The following is a 21884-nucleotide window of genomic DNA, read 5'->3' as shown; positions in this document are numbered from 1 at the left end:
TTCCTAACATTAGTCCATTACTGAATGGATTAGTTCTACCCTGCTGTAGTGGGTTCTTCTGTTTGTTTTGAGACAAGAGTCTTGCTCTGTCACCCAGGCTGGAGTGCAGTGGCACAATCTACGTTCACTGCAAACTCTGCCTCCCGGGTTCCAGTGATTCTTGTGCCTCAGCCTCCAGACTAGCTGGGATTACAGGCATGCACCACCAGGACAGGCTAATTTTTGTATTTTTACTAGAGATGGGGTTTTGCCATGTTGCCCAGGCTGGTCTCAAACTGCTGGACTCAAGCGATCCACCCACCTTGGCCTCCCAAAGTGTTGCGATTACAGGCATGAGCCATTGCACCCAGCTGCAGTGGGTTCTTTTAATTACTGAATTCAGTATGTTAGCATTTTATTTGGGATTTCTGCATTTATATTAAAATGTGCATTTAATAGCTCAATAACTCAATTTGTCTTATCAGTTAGCAATATACAAATGCAATTATTTTTAAATCAACAAAAGGTAACTAAAATTAAATCTTTCAGTGATGAATTTGAGCAGAGTAAGAGATCTAATAACAGGTTGACATAAGAAATATTTGTCTCAAAAATCAATGTATTTAATAGTTGACAGTTACAAATCTCATCATTATTGTTCCTTCAGTAAAATTTAAATATTCCCACAGTTCTCAATCAAATATGCTTTTTCAGTTTTCCAACAGCTGTGATTTTTCTTCTTTTGGTCTATTCAGTAGAAAGTGAACTATCTGAAGTAGAACATCATCATTAAAACCTTTCACATCATTATCCTCAATTGTTTCATAAAGAGGCTTACTTTGTGTACCCCAACATATATTTTTACGAGGGTTATTTTGATCAGCTTGTGTAGTCAGTGCCAAAGTATTTAGCTGGTAGCAGAAAAAGGAAAAGTATTTTCCATCTGTGATCACAGCCTGGGAGACAAAAGGTCGAGTAACATCTGCTTCACTCCAGAATCCTGTAGAAGAAAGTTATGCTGAAATTTACACATAGAATATATCTTACCCAAACAAAACAATCACATTAGACATTAGAGGGTATCAAATACCTCCTACAACTTAGATACTTTATGTAACAAAATCCCTGAAGACCTCAAAGTTTCCTTATCATCTCTATTCTAACCCTATATTTTATTTCTGCACAAATAATATTTTCCTCCCTTCTAGTATCCTCAATCTCATGATTAATCTTTTTCAACAACATCAGTCTTATTTACTTCATCTAAGAGCAGCAAGCTTTATCTACACAGATGCTTTCTACATCTGGTACTATGTCATTACCCAATTACCAAGGCCAAGTAGTAACTTTATTTCTCCACACGTATTTTATGTCATCTTTAATGGAGATAGCAAATGAGTAATACTGTTGACATATGTAATTTATTTTATTGTAAAAAGAAGTACTTTATCTTTCAAAAGTAAACAGTGCCATTCTACCATCTTCAAGAAAGTTACTTCTTACTTTGTCTAATTCCATCTACTCCTACTCCCACTTCCTCTATTCAATTCTATTATATAAATCTAAGTCAATTTTGAGTATAAGGTTAAAATACATATATATGTTAAAAAAAGATGAGCCTAGTAATCAAATATGTAGTAAAATTCCTCTTGGATATTCACATAGTGTTAATCTACTTCATATTACATTACTTCAGGTTTTAGAATAAAATCCAAATGCCCCACAATGAGCTCTAATAGTCCTGGAAGATATAGCCTCTGGCTTCCACTGTCTCCTTCTACATCATTCTCCTTGTCCCACTCTTCATTACCCTTCATGTTGTTCCTAAATATTTCAGGCCTGTTCCCACCTCAGGGACTTTTACTTGCTGATCCTTTTGCCTGGAAGTGTCTTTACCCAGATTTGTGCATAGGCAGCTCCTCGCCATTCAGGTCTTAGAGTAAGTCATTTTTAGGGACCTCTCCTGAATGACTTTTTAAAAATAGATTCTTCTCCATACCTCATTTATACCTGCCCCCCTATAAATCATTCTACTCTTTAGGCTAAAGTATTTTCCCCATAGTATTACCACTAGTTATAAACATTACATGCTTATTATCTTTTACCACCCCACACCCCCACTATAATATAAGCTCTAAGAAAGCAGGATCTGTTTCACTCAACACTGCATCTTGAACAGAGTATAGCATATAAAAAAGCAGTTACTGTTTACTGAATGAATGAACAATCCCCTAATCCAAATCCTGGATATAACCTTTAAAGAAATTATATAGGATAGCCATTGATGTAATATAAATATTTAATCCACAAAATCATTACCTTTTCTACCTGCAGAAAGCTATTATCTAGAAAGGGTTGACTTAGTTGGCTACAGTCTTTGGAATGTGTGCAAAAGTACATTCACACAGAAGATGGTCAAAGTAAAAGACAAAAACAACTACCTCAGTGTCAGATTTCAAATGTATAGTATTTAAACGAGGATTTTAAAACAACTGTACTTTGTGCCAATGCAAAAGTTTAAAAATGTTAAGATTCAACCTATGTTTTAACCCAAAGAAAAAATTTTAACCATTATATTCTTAGAATGTTACAAATACCTTCAAAGAAAATGCTATAAAATTAATTTTTACCTTGATACATAGCTTGTGCTCCAGTCCAAGCAAAAAGGCTTGCAATAGCATTAGCTCTAAAAACAACTTCTATCTGATCAGCACAGTTTTGTCTCAAAAGCCTTTCCCTTCTTAATTTGTCAGGTAACAGATGAAACTGGGTGTGACCGTAACAGCAAGGATCTGCAGTTTTTGAGCCTGAAGAGCAAAATAAAAACATTTCAGATGAAACAAACATGTAGAACATGTGGAGCACATGTTTTAGTATTTGAGCCTTTTTTTTCCTTCTTTATACATCATATTCTCAGTACTCTAAATACATAAGTAGGAATATTAGTTTACTTATATATCTTATGGATCATAATAAAATTAAATTTCACAGGAAAGCATAATTTCTCAATCTGCTAGCTATCATAAAGCCCATCATAACATGGAAGAAGTTGAAAGAATATATAGACAAGTTATTTAAAATTTCTATGATCTGTTTTCTCAAATCCCTTAGTCATGATTAGCTATGGTTGTCTCCTTGTCATATTAACTAAGAGGATACAGCCACTTCAAGACTTTAATAACTTATTTAATGAAATAATTACACACTTTGCTCCTAATTTTTAAAAATCATTTTTACACTACTTTTCTAAGTAAAAAAAAAAAAAATAAGTAGCAACATTTCATGAAATGCTGACATTCTTGATTCTAGTGGTAGTCTTTTCAACAAAAAGTTCCTTGCAGGTCACTCCCTAAGACCACAGTGACTGAGAAAAGGCTGATAAAATAGGTCTGGAGGGCTGGTATAAAACCTTCTTAAGACTTCTTCACATTGGGTAGGAATTAACAAAGGAAGAAAAAATTGCAAAAAAATAAGCTGCATGAGGGAGGGCAGACATCAGACATTATGAATTTGTGAATTCCTTATCTTACCACCATGCATGGCACAAATAGGACACTTAAAAAAGCCAATTGCTATCTCAAGTCCAGTTCTAAAAGTTTTTACTTTTAAAAAAACACTAATTTTTCTATCTAATAAGTCAACAAAGCCTATTTTCTAAAGTTAAATACTTCTATTTTGGTAGAAACAAGTAAAATTTCAAATAATGAACTTAATATTTTCTTTCCAGTGTTTATGCATGTTGTAATAACCTGAGATTACGAATTATATTGCTCATAGACTATGTAAACCTCTCGGTCTTCGAGAATTAATTCCTCATTGTAGTCAATACTCCAAATTTGCATACGACACTTGGAACACATTTATGGTACAATATGTCAAAAGAGAAACTTACCAACAAATATGTGGTTTTCATACTGCCGTTTGAATAATGGAAGTTTGTCTGGTTTACATTTTATAGTGGGGATTTCTATAGGAACAGAATAATCCAATGGCACAAACTTAAAGAAAAAGAAAAGACATACTAAATTCACAGCAACATTAGTATGTATTTTACTCACACTCATTAGATTTAAAAATCTTAAAATGAGGTGATTTCACAAAATGATTTGATAATACTATCATCGAATGATGGGCCAAATCGAGCAAGCCACCTGTTTTTACAAGTAAAGTTTTACTGGAACACAGCCGACACATATTCATTTATAAATTGTGTATGGCGCTTTGCACTGTTAAGAGCAGAGCTGAACACTTGCAACAGAGACTTACGGCCTGTACAGCCCAAAATATTAACTATCCAGATCTTTACAGAAAAAGTGTGTCAACCCCTGACATGAAAGCATAGACAATACTCAAAATATCCTTGTTTTTCTCCAAAAGAACTGCAAATATGTAAAATGGCCCAGTTGATAACTGTTAAACTTCCTTGATTTATGACTAGTCTAGTAAATTACAATCACAAATTACAATCGTAAACTATTTCAGAATTTTTATATTAAGAGAAACATATAGATCTGTATGGTCAGGCAAAATGACACTTTAACCCGTTATTGTTAAAATGGTTATCTGACCTTTATGGAGTATACCAAAGCAGATTTAAAAAGCTAAAAAGATTTTTGAGAGGTGATGTCTTCAAAAAGGAAACTTGAAAGGCAAGAGATCCACCTGAAACATTTTATTCTACTAAGACTATTACTCAACCTGCCTATGACAAATCCTACACGAGATATCAATAGATACATAATCGCAATAAATCCTTACCTCTGCGAGTTGCTTGGATATTCGAATCTGGTTGTTTGGTTTATCATCTATCTGGTATCGCAAGTCATCAATTCGACCTCTTCGATGACCACGAGGAATAATTTCTTCACCACGCACCCAGTAAAAATGAACTGGGCATCTATAATCTATCAAAAAGATATTCAAAATTTTTTTCATCTGATCATCTAAATAAATTTGGTTACTATTAGAACACTAAAGAGTACTAACTTAGCAAATGATAACTTAGGAATGATTGAGGTAAGAGTCTGGGTTATGTGGTAATTTAACTATTATGACTTAAATATAACATTCAAACATTTATTGTCTACTTGTGCCATCATTACAATGAACAGTAACCAAAGAGATTCCTCATTAGGAGTAATAAAAGAAAATAAGATTAACAAGAATATCATTCACCATAAATAAAAATAGGGCTATTTTATGAACATCCAATTCAATTTTCACAATAACTCCCAAAGGTATGTATACTTTTCATTATCTCTATTTTATAGGAGAAGAACCTGGGTCTTGACAAAGTTAAACAGGTTTTCTAGGCCATCCATCAGGAGTAGTCTAAGTCCATGACGCTTTCCTCAAGACCACTTCTTTCTCAACTGGGGAAGGGAAAAAACATGCACACAACAAGGCTAGGTTGAGCACACATCTACAGTCCTAACATTACTTCAATAAATATTAAGACATACACTTGGTAGAAGATATAAAATAATGAATGCGTCAAAAACAATAATTTTTAAAATTATTTATACGTTAATTACTTTTCATGTCCGCCCTGAACAGTTACACGGAAGCTGCTGATTTTTTACTAGGAACTTGGAATGGGAGTTTGAAGTTTGACCCCCTAATCTCTTAGCTATAGGGTGTCAGGCAGACACATTTAACGTTTCTATGCCTCAGTTTGTTACGTTTTTGTCTTTTTTTCATTTACCAAAACATTGCTACCTATCGTGAACGGTTATTGTGAGCATTAATAAGTTGGCACATATAAAATTTAGAACCAGGGCCTAGCACATAAATACTGAGTAAACGTTAGGTATCTTAGTTAATACTTCATTTAATCTTCACAATTCTACAACAAAGAACTACTACCGTAAAACGCGAAAAATTAAGCAAAAAAGTTACTAAAGAAAAAGAAAAGACATACTAAATTTAAAATTAAGGTAAAAAGAAGTTACTACTCAGCCATGTGACACATGGTCACACAGCTTTGTGGTGGAACAGCCAACAGGAAACCTGGCCCGCCCCACTCTCTTAAGTGGCGTTTCTCTTCATCACCACTGCTCTTCCATTTGGCTGAACACTCACAAAGTAGAATCCAGGACTGGAATCCTGGAGAGCTCAGGCTTTCAGAGTTGAAGAGCTGGTAGGTGTTAGCGCAGCCACACACACCTAGTCTCTAGATTCCTAACGCAGTGACTGTTACAAAACCAGGCCACCCCAGATAGGAACGAAAGGACTAGGAAAACATGAACGAAGCAGAGAGAAAGAAATGACGAGGGGTAAATCTGCGGCAGAGTAACCCAGTACAATCCCCATCTCTCCCTTCCGCCCTGGGGCGGAATCCAAGGCTCACCGAGGGCGGCAGCGGCCAGGGCCGGGTTGTGTGGGCTGAGGAGGCCCACGAGGGTTGACACCAGCTGATCCAGGAAGGGCAAAGATATGACCTCGCTCTCCTCGTAACGGTGCACGCGCCGCCTGCGCCGCAGGTAGAAGTGCTCCTGCAGCAGGCAGTCGCAGGCGACCGCACGCAGCGCCGCGAGGTCCAGCGCAGGTTCAGGTTCGGGTTCGGGCTCGGGCTCGGGCTCCGCTGGGGGCGGCGGCAGACCCGACAGGAACACGGTCTTGGTGAAGTACTGGTACCAGCGGTCGGCATTCAGCGCGAAGGTCTGCGGGTAAACCATGTACTTCATAAACTGCATCTTGGTGAGGATTCGCAGCTTCTCGTCTACCGACTCCGCAGCGTGCACCGTCGCCTGCCAGCGCTCGATCCGCCGCAGCCGTGCAGCTTTGCTGTCGGCTGTCATGGAGGCCACAATCGGCGGGTACCGCGCGACGGGGGTCGCCGCGACGTCTTGGCAGGTCGTTTCTGTAGCCGTGGCGGCGGCATTAGCCGCGGTGTGCAATGAAAGCCTCGGACCGCGTAGCAAAGGCCTCCAACACCTGGCCGCCGCCATCTTTGCCCGCGATTCCGGACCCAGAGGTCAACTTAAGCAATTGTCCTTGCCCTCTTGCTGTAGGGACCAATCGGAAAGCGGAATCTGAGCCAGTCTGGGAAAGGACGATTCTCAGTGGGCGTGGGTTATGTTGCGTCATTCATGGTTTAGCCAATCATATAACTTCTCCAGTCGTGGTTTCCTGCGTTTGTAGATGGAAGGAAGAACTTGTGTGCTTAGACCTGACGCTGGGAGGAGATGCTGCCACCTAGGTTACTTGTAGGACCCTATACGGCAACCTCCTTTGCCAGGAACTATTTATAAACATCCTGCAGGAAAATGGTAAGCCCTTGGTTAAATTTATTGGCTTCATTTATGTATCTCACAACACTTCTTTTCTGTTTTAGTTCTAGGAATAGAAACTTACTTTTGGAAATACAGTACTAGCATGTTTTTCAGTATATTTGATTATATTTAAAAATTATGCAAGCATCACTCGTGACCTACTATTCATCTTTGGGAAAATAATTCCATATATTTATCTGTGCTAAATACAGACAATTTGTTTAATGATATTTATTTTGAAAGGGGGGTGTATTTTTACTTGGATTTAACTGGGGAAGACAGAAAGAAAAGGGAAATAAAACTATCAAAGAAGTGTGTTTAAATTTTGCCTTGTATTAAAACCCATTATAAATTAAACACGAGTTCTTACTAATCTGTGAGCCTCTTAAAAAGGGACTGATTTAATTTTTAATCTTCAGCAACAAATCAATACTTGTGCATAATGGGTGCTCACTAAATATCTGCTAAGAAGTCACCAAAGTCTCATTTCGGGTAATCTAATTTATTGATTCACTCTTCTGTAATTAGGGACCAGAATATTAATTTGGATTTATTGTAATAATTCTTCAGGGTATTAAAACACAAATGTTGCTAAAAAGAATTTATAACTATATTTTTAAGTTAAAACAGATGGTACGGTTAAACTTTGAAATTGCAAGTCTATTAAACTGACCTTTAGAAATAAAATGCAATACTTCAGTTTCATTAATAATATCTTCTGTGAGAAGTTGCTAGTGGAATCTAAAATATCCTTTCTACATTGTTAACAAAAGGAGGATATAAAAACTTGAGATCTTTAAACCGATATTCAATATTTAAAAAGTGAGGTGCTCAATTTTATCTAAGTTGAAGTGACAGTTTTTTGTGTAAATAAGTAATAAATACGCTGTTTGAGAATGTATCATAGAAATCCTAGGTTGATATTTTTTAAATTCTTATAGTATTACAGCATAGATTTTAGGATTAGAAATTAGAGCTAGAGACCAATTAACACCAAAAGACATAATCCTGTCAGAAAGTGCCTTTATGGTTTTTTGTGAGTGAATCAAAATAACTTCAATTTATTCAATACTTACTGATCATCAACATTATGAACCAAGGAAGGAGGCTGTGGGAAAGAGAGTATACTTAATCAAGGGTGGAGCAGTCTGGGCCAGAGGAAAGGTGGAGTAAGACTGGCAATGAACAAAACAGCCTACGGATGAGAAAGGACTGAGTCAGAGCCATGGAAAGTAGGCTATCTAATATGATCCAAAGCTTTTATATTACACACAAGGAAACAGACATAAAGCCAAAGTTATATAGCATGGTAGGGGCAGTATTGGGACTGGAATCCAGGCTGCTGGCCTCTCAGTCAGTTTTACTTGATGAATTTTATTGATTGCCTTTTATATGTTAGGCTGTGTTCTAAGTGCTCAGGATACTTAATGAACAAAGCAAACAAAAGTTTGCACTCTAACAGGGAGACAGACAATAAAATATAATCATAGTAGTAAATTATATGATGTGTTAGAAGGGGATAAGCACACGGGGGAAAAAAACAGCTGGAGAAGTGAAGATCATCAGTGCAATGTATTTGGTGGGGGTGGGGGCAGGTGAGGAGTGTTGTTTGCAATGCTTATTGAAAGGATTACATTCTTCTAGCAAAGGTTTGAAGGAAGTGAGGAGTGAACCATACCAGTATCAGTGAATGGTATTCTAGAAAGTGCAGCTAGTACAGGGCCCTGAGATGGAAACATGCCTGATGGGTTCAAGAATTAGGTCATTGGCCAGTGTGGTTGAAAGGAATGATGGGTGGGGAACGTAGTAGGAAATGCGGCTACAAAGGAAAAGAGCCAGAAACTAAAGGCTCCTGAAGGCAATTGCTAGGATTAAGACTGGAGAGCCATTGGAGGCTTCTACTCAGAAGATTGTCATGGTGTGACTTAGGTTTTTAAAAGAATTTCTCAGCATGTTAGTTGGCTTGGGCTTCCATAACAAAATGCTACATACTGGGTGGCTTGAACAACAGACATTTATTTTCTCATAGTTCTGGAAGCTGGAAGTCCAAGATGAGTATGCCAATATGGTCAGAATCTGGTGAGGGCTTTCTTCCTGGCTTGCAGACAGCCACTTTCTCCCTGTGTCCTCATAGGGTGGAGAGAAAACAACATCTTTGCTGTGTCTTCTCATAAGGATCTTATCAGATCAGGGCCCTCCCCTTGTGACCTCATTAAATCTGAGTTACTTCTATAAAGTCCCTATCTCACATTAGGGGTTAGGGTTTTAGCATATGAATTTAGTAGGGAGACAATCCAGTCCATTGCATTGTAGCTGATTTGGAAATAAAGATTGTCGCAGGTCAAATTTGGAAGAGGGAAACCAGTTAGCAGACAATTGGCCATATTTTAGGCAAGAACTGATTGTGGCTTAAAGGGATAATAGCAGTGGAGACAATGGGAAGCAATGAGAAAAAGATGATTCGAGAAAGACTCTAAAATTTAGGATCTGAGCAGTCGGATGAGAGAAAAAGGCCCATGGACACAGTGTGTTTACTTTTTCTTTAATCTCTCATTTTTTTAGGGAAGGGTGGTAGAGAGAGTGGGTTGAGGTTTAGAGAAGGGAATGGGAGAGTTTCTAAAGCATGTGCTTATCTATTTGTATGTGTTTATGTTTAAATTCTCCTGGAAGAAAATTGATGTTAAGATCTTTCCTATTAATGTTTCCATTGATCTTTGATTTAAAGTATTACAATTCAAACCGGTCAAGCCATGACATTCTCCAGTGGCTTTTTGAACCTTCTCTACATCACTCATTCAACAAATATTTAAGTGATTGCTATATACCAATACTGTTCTAGGTGCAGAAAATACTGCAGTAAAATAAAAGCCTTCGTGGAGTTTACATGCTAATGGGTGAAATAATCTAGCCAAATATGTCACATATACATGTTCCAAGTTAGATGGTGCTAGGAGCCAAGAAGAAAATTGAAGCAGGAAAGGAGACTGAATAGTGTTAGACATAGGAGTTGAGTGGAATAATTTCAATAAACTAATCACACAAGGCCTTCTTGAGAAGATGACATTTGAATAACACCTGAAGGGGATAAAGGATTAACAAGGAAGCCAGTACAGCTAAGGTGGAATGGAACACTTTTCCAATAATCACAATTACCATCTTCAGAAACAGGTTCTGATGAGTGGGATAATATTTGTAACCACAGTAGTTTTTGTTATTGAGTATCTGTCTTGATCAATTTTAGTTGGGCATCAGACAGTTCTGTTGATGTTTGAATAAGACCAATCTTTCCCAATCAACTGTAGTTTTTACCAGAGCTTTTTCACTATCAAATTGATGAGGTGAGAAGGAAACAGAAACTATTTCCTACCAACAGATGTAGTGGGAGTTGCAGCTGGTTCTTTTTGAGCTTTGTTTCTTTCACATATATTTCCTACGTAAGGCAGATATCTTACCCAGTTGTATATATAACAAATTTATGTAAAACTGAGAACAAAATATTTTGGGGAAAGAAAGGTGCAGTTTTGTGCTTGGTTTGTTTTTGAAGGGTTTCTGATAGTTGGTTCGGAAATAATAGGAAGGAAGCTAAGTGTCTACATTATATGCCAGCTACTGTATTAAGAACTTCATATGTATTTAAATCTCCTGCATAATCACATAGTCACAATCACCTTTCAAAGTAAATATTGTCTTCCCTCTCTCCCCACTTTTTTTGTCTGGAAAGTCGTAAAACTTGTACACATCAACAGATGAAGATTAGCTAAAACAATTTTGAAAAAGAAGAATAAAATAGGAGGATAGGTCTACTTGATTTCAAGCCTTAATGTATAGCTACAGTAATCAATGGAGAAAGATAGACTTTTTGACAAATTGTGTTGGGACAATAGGACATCCATTGGACAATAAATAAATGAATAAATAAACTTCAATCTATCTCTTACACCTTTTGGAAAAATTAAAATGATTACAAATTTCAATGTAAGCATAAAATTATTACCAAAAAATAAGAGAAAAAAACTGCAGGATATAGGACTAGGCAAAGAGTTCCTAGAGTTGATACCAAAAGCATGATCCATAAACGTAAAACTTGGTAAGTTTTGACCAGCAATTGCACTCTTGGGGCATTTATCCCAGATAAATGAAAATTTATTTTCAAGCAAAAACCTCTTCATGATACAGTCTTATTCATTATAGCCCAGCATCGGAAACAAACAAGCAGATGTTCTTGAACAGGTGCATGGTTACAATTAATACGGTAGATCTGGATAAATCTCTAGAGAATTACACTGGATTTACAAAAAGCCAATACCAAAAGGTTACATATGGTAAGATTTCATTTATATAACACTCTTGAGGTAACAAAATTATCGAAATGGAACACAGATTAATAGTTGGTAGAGATTAAGGAGTCAGTGAGATGGGAAGGCAGTGAAAATTCCTATAAAAGAGCAACATAAGGGATTCTTGTGGTAATGGAAATGTTCTCTATCTTAACTGTATCAATGTCAATCCTGGTGTATTACTTTACTATAGTTCTGCAAGATGTTCCTGGAAACTGGGTGAAAGGTGCAGGAGATTTAGCTGTATTATTCTTGCAAAAGCTTGTTAATCTATAATTATCTTAAAATAAAATTTTAATTAAAAAATAAAAGCAAATGAGGTAGAGTTCTTGGACATAGGGAGAAACCATTATATGCTTCAGGTTAAGTAGTCTTCAGTAGGTCTGCATCGGTAGCTGTCACAATCACAGTGATTCTACAAATAGTACAAATAGGGGAACCTGAGCATTTTATCTTGAACTACAAATTACTTTAATAATTACATTTTAAAATTTATCCTTTGTATTACAGTGGGGTATCATATAAAGATATACTTTTTGAATTTATGGTTTCAGTCTGTTATCTGAAGATTTTATTTCTGGGATATTAGAGGGAGTGTTGCAAACTATAAACTACTGTTGTAAAAGAGGGCATAGAATCTGATAGGATTATGAACGTTTAATATAGTTTACATTTATAGTTAGAGAGGAAAAAATGAAGATGAATGTTATTTTCCCACAGGTTCAACATGTAACAGCTTATATCCATCCACGGAAGTATACTCTTTGTGTTTCCTAAACTAGTCTCTGTACTAATTTGAAAGCTCAATAAACTCAACTGAGATCCAGCCAGGCTCTGCCACTTTCGCTTTTCTTAATTAGGAGACTAATAGTACCCACTTTACAAGTTTGCTATGGGGATTTAATGAGGTGCATATGTAAAATGATGCAAAATAACATTTACTGAACACCAATACTTTATACGTGCCACTGGTTTTCATTCTCTCAGCAATATACTTTAAATCAGGGCATATGACCCTAATTTTGTAGATGAGAAAATGAGGCCATAAGAGGTTAAGACATTAGCTCAAGCTCCTAAGTGCCAGACCAGCATGAAACCATGATCTTAGACCATGAAGCCCATGTTTTTTATACCAGTGGTTTCAGTAACCTAGAACCTTGGATCTTGAAGGGATGCAAAAACTCTTGAAAGATCATGAGTCAACATCTTAAGATTGTATGCACAATTCAGTAATAATTAAAATTGGGAAAATATGAAATTCATTTATATGCACTTGCTATAAAGGAAAATATTTCAGAATTTCTTGTATATTATTTTCACTAGTCCATGATTTTTCCTTCACAGAAGTAAGCAACATGAGGGAAGCTGAAAAAAATCTTGGTGATATGGGGATAATAGGACAACATTAGCAATGATTAGGCAGGGTTATTAGTTTGCTAATCCCTGGAACACAGGAGATCACCATGGAATTCTTATAAACAGAGGTGGACATTATTCCAGAGGAAAATTAAAGTCAACTCAAAAGGACATAGATTCTGTGGATAAATGGAGAAAGTTGACTGCCATATCAGTAAATTATTTTTATCTATTATTTTGACTCTAAGAAGTAAGAGCATTTTAACTTTGATAATCAAGATAGAGTCCTCCACTGTGGGCGAACAACCCTGAGGCATTAGTGTCCTATAAACCTAAACAAAATAACGACAAAATATAGTCATGGCAAGAGTAATTCATTAAATTAAAAACAGTAATTGGGATGAATTTTTCCAGTGCATATCAATAGTATAATGTTGCAGAAAATTTCCCATGAATTAAATTTAATATGTTTACAGAAAAAAACTGCAAAATGTATTAATTCATATAATTTCAGAGCAATTTTTGTACCCCAGTGCTTTGCAAAAGTTTGTAGGAAAAACATGGGGTACTTTTCTTACTGACTGATATTTTGTATCATGATTATAACACAGCATGGAACTTTCAGGTTAATTGTTAGTTTAAGTAAGAGTAAGTCAAGGATAAATAATCTGTAAAGTATCCTCCTGTAAACCTGAAAAGTATCTGTCTGTCTGTATTTGTCACTGTTGGTGGTACTGGTAGTAGTTACGTAATAGCATAAGTGAGTGGAAGTAAAACTCTTGTTTTGGCAAAATCTATATGTTAGCTGTATTCATGACAGGAAATTTCAACCACAAAATAAATCTGTGACATGATAACTTTTTTTTTTCCCAATTTTCAATCCCCTAGATAAGTTTGATTAAAAAGTAGATAACATTTCAGGTTTCAAAGAAAATGCAAATTCAGGATCTTCAAACTTTCCAACTAGCTCCTTTTATTAGTATTCTATTGATCAGAACTCACTACTTTTCAACATGATTACATAATTTATAATTGATGTTTATAAAGAAACATCAGAGCTGCTGCAGAATGCCAGTGACCTAATCAATTTTTCTTAAATAATAAATGCCCAAAGTAAACAATTTGGAGTCCAAAGAATGGACAGTGAAGATCCCTCTTCCATCTTATCCCTTCTTTTCCTTCTCCATAGGCAATTACTGTTACTATTCTCTTGTGTATCTTTCTACAGAATTCTATTCCTGTATAAGAATATTTACATGTATGTACACCCTCAAAAGGACATGTGAGATACTATTTAAGAAATAACAAGCTTTATTCTTTTTACTGACTGCCTATTAAAAACTGCTCTGAAGAACTGTTTCTTTCTTACATTTGGAAAAAATCTCGGGCAAATCTTGTCACTTTACTAGTTGATCTTAGGTCCATCTTCTAGTCATGAAAACATCTCAGTTCAGTAATTACATGTGCAATTCAGTGCAATAAGAAAAAACATGCTGTCAGCTTTAAAGTTCTATCTTCTCTCCACTGTTACTTAACACAGGTTGCCTGCTATACGAAGAGGCTAGAATGGGCGTCCTGTGTTTCTCTACTTAGGCTTCTCTCCCATTCATTAGGCTGTCACTGACTTCTCCTTGTTTCACGTTGTGAATGTGACACCAGTCCACTGTGTCCCCAGTCCTCAGGAGACCCATACCAAGCTCCTTCCAGAGGTGCTACTGGAAGGCGCTTTTTCATAGCTAGGCTTGAGATGTTGGAAAAATATTCCTTCTGTCCTCTCAATAATGAGGTTTGGTTAGCATAGGCTCTCAGTATTCTTTTTCAGCCTCATGTCTTTTGAAGCAGGGGAGAGTCAAGAAATACAAAATCATATCTCATAAACCATGATTTAAAAACTCATTTGCAATTATTTCTTGGGTAGTCTGGCACCTTACTTGGAAATATGGAACTGATTGGCACCTAGTGTTTTGGGACTCTTGCTCTCTTGCTGAAAATAAAACATAAATAGTTATATACTGTGTATCTATCTATTATCTATCTAGAAAGAGAGAGAAGGAGAGCTGAGAGATAACATATATAGAAAATTAGGAATATATACAATACATATGATATATGTATATATCTGTATATATATAGAGAGAGAAAGAGAGAGAGAAAGAGATACATCTGCATTCTTTATAAAAATCATTTTAGATAAATCATCAAAGAATCAAATATTTTTATATGCCCAGGCTGGAGTGCAGTGGTGCAATCATAGCTCACTGCAGCCTTGAACTCCTGGGCTCAAGCAATCCTCCCAGCTCAGCTTCCTAAGTAGCTAGAACTATAGGCACAAACCATCATGCCTGGCTAATTATTTATTTTTTGCATGGGTAGATCTCATTACATCGCTCAGACTGGTCTTGAACTCCTGGCCTCAAGTGATCCTTCCACCTCGACCTCTCAAAGCCCTGGAGTTAGTCAAGAGCCACTGCACCCTTCCTATTGTAAATTTTGAGTCATATTTTTTTATTTCTAGTATGGGCATTGATTACCCACTGGCATGTATTGTCATTTTATAACAATACAAATAGTTGAGCAATCAAATCACCCGTTTCCCCACCTTTTGTCTTACTGAGTCCCTGGAGAGGGCGCTCTGTTCTGAATAAAATGACAAACCTCACAAGTGGAGGCTGTTTGCCCCTCACCCTTTTACCTTTCTTTCTGGAACACAAATGCAAGACACCATAAGCCATCAGGACAAACACTCCATTCAGAATGGTGAAGCAGAAAGATGGGTGTATCTGAAATACTTATGTCTTCTTTAAGCCATTCTTTAGACTTGGTGCTTGTTTCTAGACTTTCGTTTTGTGTGGAGAAAAAAAATCAAGAATTCAGGTTCATTGCTCTGTTACAGTTCTGTTTTTCTTCAGTCTTTCCCCCTTACTCTTGGCTTCAGAGTAGCGGACAGACATGGTCAGTGCTTCCCACAAAGCTCATAAAGCTATTGATATTTTACGTGGATGCCAAACACTTATTTTTTTGGTTGTTGTTTGGAGAGAATTTGTTTTAAATCATAACAGAATCTCATACATATTGCAGATAGTCTTCCAGGTCAATAGATAAAAATCTAACACTTCTTTTGATAGCTGCATATCAAAATGCCTCCAGGTATTTAGACATTTTTCTAGATGGACATTCACGTTAATTATGTTACCTTTTTTATTCATTTATTTATTTAACAATACAGTTAATGCTATAAAAAACATTTTTAAGGCTGTGTGCAATGGCTTATGCCTGTAATCCCAGCGTTTTGGAAGGGTGAGGCAGGCAGATCACTTGAGGTCAAGAGTTTGAGACCAGTCTGGCCAACCTGGTAAAACCCTATCCCTACTAAAAAGACAAAAAATTAGCCAGGCGTGGTAGTACACAATTGTAGTCTCAGCTACTCAGGAGGCTGAGGCAAGAGAATCACTTGAACCCAGGAGGTGGAGGTTGCAGTGAGCTGAGATTGTGCCACTGCACTCCAGCCTGGGCAATAAAATGAAACTCCATCTCAAAAGAAAAAAAATGCTAAGTGCTGATGCTTTTATTTTGTGGGCTGAGCTCTCAGCAGTGGAACGTTTGTGATGTAGGTTATGTACCCTTATTTGTAGACATATTACCAACAACTTATATTCCTACTACACTACATAAAGTGCACATTTTCTTACATTCTCACCAATACTATTGGCAGTTTTAAAAAAAATCTTATATAATTTCAGCCTAACTTAATATATTGGATAATTGTTTTAACTTTTATTTATCAGACTACAAGTGAGATTGAGTATCTTTTAATGCAGCAGTCCTCAACCTTTTTGGCACCAGGGACCAGTTTTATGGAAGACAGTTTTTCCACGGACTGAGGTGGGGGTTGCGGATGGTTTTGTGTTGAAACTGTTCCAGCTCAGATCATCAGGCATTAGATTCTCATAAGGAGTGTGCAACCTAGATCCCTCACATGCACAATTCACAATAAGGTTCACACTCCTATGAGAATCTAATGCCTTGGCTGAACTGACAAGGGTCAGGAGGCAGAGCTCAGGCAATAATGCTTGCTTACCCACCAGTCACCTCCTGCTGTGCAGACTGGTTCCTAACAGGTCACAGACTGCTACCAGTCTGTGGCCTGGGGTTTGAGGACTCTTATTTTAATGTATTTGTTGGCATTCGCTTTTATTTTGGGGCCTTTTTCCTTGAAGTTCTTTGTCTATTGTTAATATTAGTTTTGTTAACCTTACATATGTCACAAAGGTTGCAGATATTTTGTGTAATCTATAATGTATCTTTTTACTTGTTTTTGGAGTCTTTTGCTGCACAAAAGTTTTATGAATTCAGAGTCATAATTCTAGTTTCCTGTTTTGCTACAGAAGATCGTTCACTTAAAAAAAATAGATTTTTATTTATTCCATCTGCATCAGTCGTTCTTAAATTTTTTTAAATGTGCTAGAGTTCACAAAAGAATAGTGCAACTGGATTATGCATGATAAAATTTAAGAGAAACATTCCAATTATTACACGATTGGAGGTATATAGTAGATGCAGGTCTAAATAGATTTAGATTTGACTTTGAATTGGCAAGAGGAGGTCAGCTTCTCACAGGATAAACCCCAAAATTGGAATTCAGCTTGGGAGGCCATGTGGGTTCTTGGGTTAGAGCAGGAAAGAATTCAAGAGTGAAGTGAAAGCAAGTCTATTAAAATGTGAAGGAATAAAATGGTGGCTACCCCATAGCAGAGTCACCCTAAGGACTGCTGGTTGGCTATTTTTATGGTTATTTTTGATAATATGCTAAACAAGGGGTCAATTACGAGTTTTTCAGGAAAGGAGTAGGGAGTTCCCAGAACCAAGGGTTCCTGCCCTTTTTAGATTATCTAGTGTAATTTCTGGGAATTGCCATAGCATCTGTAAACTGTCATGGCACTTTTGGGTGTTTCTGTTAGCATGCTAGGCGTATAATGAGCAGGGAGGACAGCTAGACATTGCTTTCATCCCCATCTTGATTCTGGCTGGTTTCTGCCAGTTTCTTTACCACATCCTGTTATATCAGTGTCGTCTTTGTGACCTCTTCTTGAGAAACAAGTCCTAACAAACTCCTATCTCAGTTTGTATGTGACTATGTATACATTTGATGTTTCAGGCATTAATAACTCTAAAATTAATGTATAGGCTCAGTATGGCTATATATCATTTTACTTGATTTCGTATGGTTCAACATCAACTGCATGCTGATTTTTAGTAAATATTGGTCTCAAATTTTGCCTCGGTATATGTTTTGGGTATATAGATAAAATGCTTCTTCCAACTGTCCTTTTAGTTCTGGCTACCACAAGTACATTGCCTCTGACCAGCAGCACAATGATGTTGGAACTTGTGTCAGAAGAATCATATCCTTCTTTTAGCTTCCATCTACTTTTTGCACTTTTATAACCTAAACCATGTCCCACTTTGTCAATGTACAATTCAGGATAAAGTCATTGATGTCACACTGAATATTGTCTAATGGAGAGCATTCAGATTCACAACTCTCTTCCACTTTAAAGGCAATCTGTATTAATGACACTCACATATTGACCAATTTTATTTGCTATATTGTATTACTTTTTTGCCCTATTCTAAAGGAAGCTTAAGAAATAACACCTAAAATCTCCTGTTTCTCAATTTGGGTTGATTCCTTTTCTCCAAGTGTAATATTTCAATTGTCAAGTGATTTTCTAGTGTAACTAATATTCTACCTACTTGTCTTTCCTCCCATGCACATTTTTTACTTGTCTAGTAGAATTTCAAGTGTTAATTGAGCTGAACATTTGAAAGAGCCTTGTAGGCTGTGTTGTCTTCGAGTGCACATTAATCTTCCTATTACTTTTAACAAGAAGCATAGATATTTAGATATTCTGCTGTGAAGCAGATAATGGTGGGAAATACAGAGAATTGAATCTTTGAGAAATAAAAGATTAGAAAAAGTTTGGTCCTTTTTTTCTCTGCCATTTATTTATTCATGCATATCATAATTCAGTTAGAGATACTAGAAAGGGGTAGAAAAATTTGGGATAGGAAATATTCAGCCAATTTGACATTAATTAAAGAGCATATATTCTTATGAATATTCCACTTGAATTCATTTTAATAGCAATTTGGCATTTTGAAACATTTCTAGCTTGTATTGTATTCAGTTAAGTAGACTTAATCCAGAAGGAAATCAAGAGAAACCATGTCTTTTTGATAAAATAAGCTGTCTTTCAAACATCTGGCCCGACCTCTGGTTGCTGGGATCCACTGCACTGATCACAACTCTGTACTCTCTCAGAGAGAAAACAGGCATTTGCCAGGACTCTGTGAGATAAACAGAGCTGGCCACTCACAAGGAATGATCACTCTCTCGTTGTCACATTGAATATCTTCTAGAGGAAAGCATTCAGATTCGCAACTCTGTGAATGTGTGTTCAGTGTGTTTCAGTGTGTCGAAAAGCTCCAGACCTAAAATGGTCCCATCCGTTTTCCCTAGTTTTAAAATTCTTCTGTGAGAAAAGTCCTTACTTTTCTGTCTCCAGAAATTCCTGTTGAAATACAGATGTCTCTAGAACATAAATACCTTTCTCACCAACGATTGGAATTTGTAATGGCTCTTGGTCTTAAAGGTAGTTACATAAATAAATTAAAATTATCTTAAATAATAAATGAAAATTATAGGAACTACTGCCAGTTTTTGATGTAGTACCAAGCCCTCCTCTACAAATATGGTCTCCTAATTAAGATCCCCATGTTTTTTTTTTAATAAGCCACTCGCATAATTTACCATCTATGATTTCCATTTTTAGTTTACTTAATGTAAAACTAGAGCTACATTTACAAAACTGTAGGAAATCAGTCAGTGTGGTGGGAAAAGGTATAAAAGTTACAGGGAAAGACACAAACCTTCTTGGAAGGCCAGGAGGTTTTGCAAAAGCTTCAAAAGTAAATTTGCCTGAAGACAGCCAAGTTCTCTTATCCAGAGCCTGAGAGCAAAGGGTAAATAATAAGGGAATGTAAAGGGACTTATCTAGATAAATTTGTTTCCTCCTGTCTCCAGAAACCAACCTTTGATCATTTGCATGCAGGACTGCTCTCTACTTGGGGGGGTGGGGGAGTTGACAATGGTTATTATCCACAAATTGTTTTTGCTCCAAGCCTTTGTCATTAAATCTGTACTAAATAAATGCGAGCAGGGCTAGCTTATTGGGGCTGCAGTCTCTCAGCGGCTGCACTGCACTCTTGTCAGTGGTGCAGAGGGGTGCAGTCCCCTAGCTGTGCTCTCAGGCAAAATACCTGTGTCAGCGTACTTCTTTCATCCATCGCTCAGCCAGAGTCTGCAGGACAGACTTGGCAGCACAAAATAATATGAATACAGACTTTTTTCTAGACTGTTATTCATTTCTCTCCTCCTGCTCCCATATTTCACCACAATCTCAGACCCATCTAATTCAACAGTAATTGTTTTGGGATGACCCACACTTCTCAGATTTTTTAAAGCTTAGTTTACATAATTTTAAAGCTTGCTTTTCTTTCTTTTTATACTCATTCTTTATCATTTTAGGTTATTTTGGCTAAACTACATTCTTCAATAATAAATTATGTTGATATAACATGTTTGAGAAGAAATTGATAAGCACATCTGGGCAGTGGAAGCAGAGGTACTTTGTGTTTGCTCTACATTATGCTACTGGGGCTCAGGATACACTACCCCAAAATATGACTGCAGGAGGCCAGAATATGACCCCAAAATATGCCTCTTTGGAACATTGATTATTTTGAGCTAGTTATTTTGAGAAACTGCAGGCACAGGACTAACTTTGAAAAGTTACCCTTTTGTAAGAGAAATTTATATCTATAAAGGAAATTACACTTATGAGAATGTCTCCCTTTCTCTGCAACAGGAAGAGAGGAATGAATAAATGGAGAAGGATTAGACTTAAATCTGCAAAACATATCTTACCCTTGTGCTTTTCCTGGCCATCTGTCCATAGATGGGTTTTTGTGGATTTTCCCCACACCCTTCTTTCTTTGTTTTAGCAAATGAAATTTGAGCATGACGTTTAAACCCTTTATTTGTGACCTACTCTAGAAATGGACTCATTTCTCTAGGTTTTCTCTCACATATATCTGCAATATATATGTTTAAAAAAACTTGTTTGTTTTTCTCTTTGTGAACCCTGAATATCTGAGACAGGTCTCAGTTAATTTAGAAAGTTTATTTTGCCAAGGTTGAGGATGCATGCCTGTGAAACAGTTTCAGGAGGTCATGATGAAATATGCCCAAAGTGACCAGAGTGTCAGAGGTGTTTGAACCAGCATGACTCCATCTTGAGTGAGGGCTAGGAAAATGAGGCTGGATCTTGCTGGGCTGCATTCCCAGAAAGTTAGGTATTCCTAGACTCTAGGTGTTTACAGCTAAGGGAACAGCTTGATAAACAGACTAAACAGACCCAGACTTAGGAGCGTCCTGATATCCCACTATCTTGAGAACAGAAGCATTCCTAATTTTGCTTTAAGGATAATAATATTGATTCTTGCAAAATATAGTAATTAAGAAAATTAATCCTTTATCACAAACCCTGTAGCAGAGCTCATCTCCCCATGATCTTTTTATATTCTGTAGGTAAACAAGTATTGTACCTAGGGTGGACGCATTCCTCCTCTTACTTTCAGGATTCCCTACTCCAGTGTTCTTTCACCACTTTACTTTCTTATTAAACTTGCTTTTCTTTTGCACTGCAGACTCGCCCTGAATTCTTTCTTGTGCAAGATCCAAGAACCTTCTCTTGGGGTCTAGGTCAGGACCCCTTTCCAGTAACATCTTCCTGGTGACTACAAAGCAATGATCCTAAGGAAAACCCCAACCAAAAGGCTAAATTTGGCTAAGTGGTGGGGTTTTGTAATACCTTTC

The 21884-nt window shown here is 36.8% G+C and overlaps 1 protein-coding gene and 1 long non-coding RNA gene across 5 annotated transcripts in view, besides 4 other annotated features; one reads left to right on the top strand and one right to left on the bottom strand.

Annotated features, from left to right (window-relative positions):
- Positions 1 to 377: 377 nt before the first annotated feature.
- On the bottom strand, positions 378 to 6945 carry MRPS30 (mitochondrial ribosomal protein S30). The gene is made up of 5 exons (NM_016640.4): positions 6329 to 6945; positions 4738 to 4883; positions 3872 to 3977; positions 2610 to 2786; positions 378 to 979 (listed from the first exon to the last, which is right to left on the bottom strand). Exons 1-5 carry the CDS (start codon positions 6927 to 6929, stop codon positions 690 to 692), a joined length of 1320 nt encoding a protein of 439 aa, NP_057724.2. The 5' UTR covers positions 6930 to 6945; the 3' UTR covers positions 378 to 689.
- Positions 5894 to 6549: an enhancer, noted in NCBI's record as "NANOG-H3K27ac-H3K4me1 hESC enhancer chr5:44809445-44810100 (GRCh37/hg19 assembly coordinates)". NCBI's record gives its function as "activates a minimal SCP1, AML or CMV promoter by ChIP-STARR-seq in primed H9 embryonic stem cells {active_cell/tissue: H9 hESC(primed)}" and the evidence as "EXISTENCE:reporter gene assay evidence [ECO:0000049][PMID:30033119]".
- Positions 6540 to 7019: an enhancer, noted in NCBI's record as "active region_22541". NCBI's record gives its function as "activates an Ori minimal core promoter by ATAC-STARR-seq in GM12878 lymphoblastoid cells {active_cell/tissue: GM12878}" and the evidence as "EXISTENCE:reporter gene assay evidence [ECO:0000049][PMID:35858748]".
- Positions 6540 to 7206: a biological region, named in NCBI's record as "NANOG-H3K27ac-H3K4me1 hESC enhancer GRCh37_chr5:44808788-44809444".
- Positions 6550 to 7206: an enhancer, noted in NCBI's record as "NANOG-H3K27ac-H3K4me1 hESC enhancer chr5:44808788-44809444 (GRCh37/hg19 assembly coordinates)". NCBI's record gives its function as "activates a minimal SCP1, AML or CMV promoter by ChIP-STARR-seq in naive and primed H9 embryonic stem cells {active_cell/tissue: H9 hESC(naive and primed)}" and the evidence as "EXISTENCE:reporter gene assay evidence [ECO:0000049][PMID:30033119]".
- Positions 7099 to 21884, top strand: part of MRPS30-DT (MRPS30 divergent transcript) — a 64466-nt gene continuing 49680 nt past the window's right edge. For all 4 annotated transcript variants that reach the window (NR_109865.1, NR_109864.1, NR_109863.1 and 1 more), the window contains exon 1: positions 7099 to 7250. This is a non-coding gene — a long non-coding RNA (MRPS30 divergent transcript). The remainder of the gene's footprint in view (positions 7251 to 21884) is intronic.

This window comes from Homo sapiens, chromosome 5 (genome assembly GCF_000001405.40).
Source record: "Homo sapiens chromosome 5, GRCh38.p14 Primary Assembly".
Lineage (NCBI taxonomy): Eukaryota > Metazoa > Chordata > Mammalia > Primates > Hominidae > Homo > Homo sapiens.
The sequence above is the reverse complement of the archived record's forward strand: the minus strand, read 5'-3'. Positions and strand labels throughout refer to the sequence as shown.

What these genes read in the sequence shown, in the direction of transcription:
- MRPS30 (NM_016640.4), bottom strand. Translation starts at nt 6,929, where the DNA reads ATGGCGGCGGCCAGGTGTTGGAGGCCTTTGCTACGCGGTCCGAGGCTT. An exon ending in CCTGGCCGCTGCCGCCCTCG is followed by an intron (nt 4,884 to 6,328) that starts GTGAGCCTTGGA and finishes TCTTTTTGATAG; the next exon opens with ATTATAGATGCCCAGTTCAT. An exon ending in AGCACAAGCTATGTATCAAG is followed by an intron (nt 980 to 2,609) that starts GTAAAAATTAAT and finishes TTTCTTCTACAG; the next exon opens with GATTCTGGAGTGAAGCAGAT.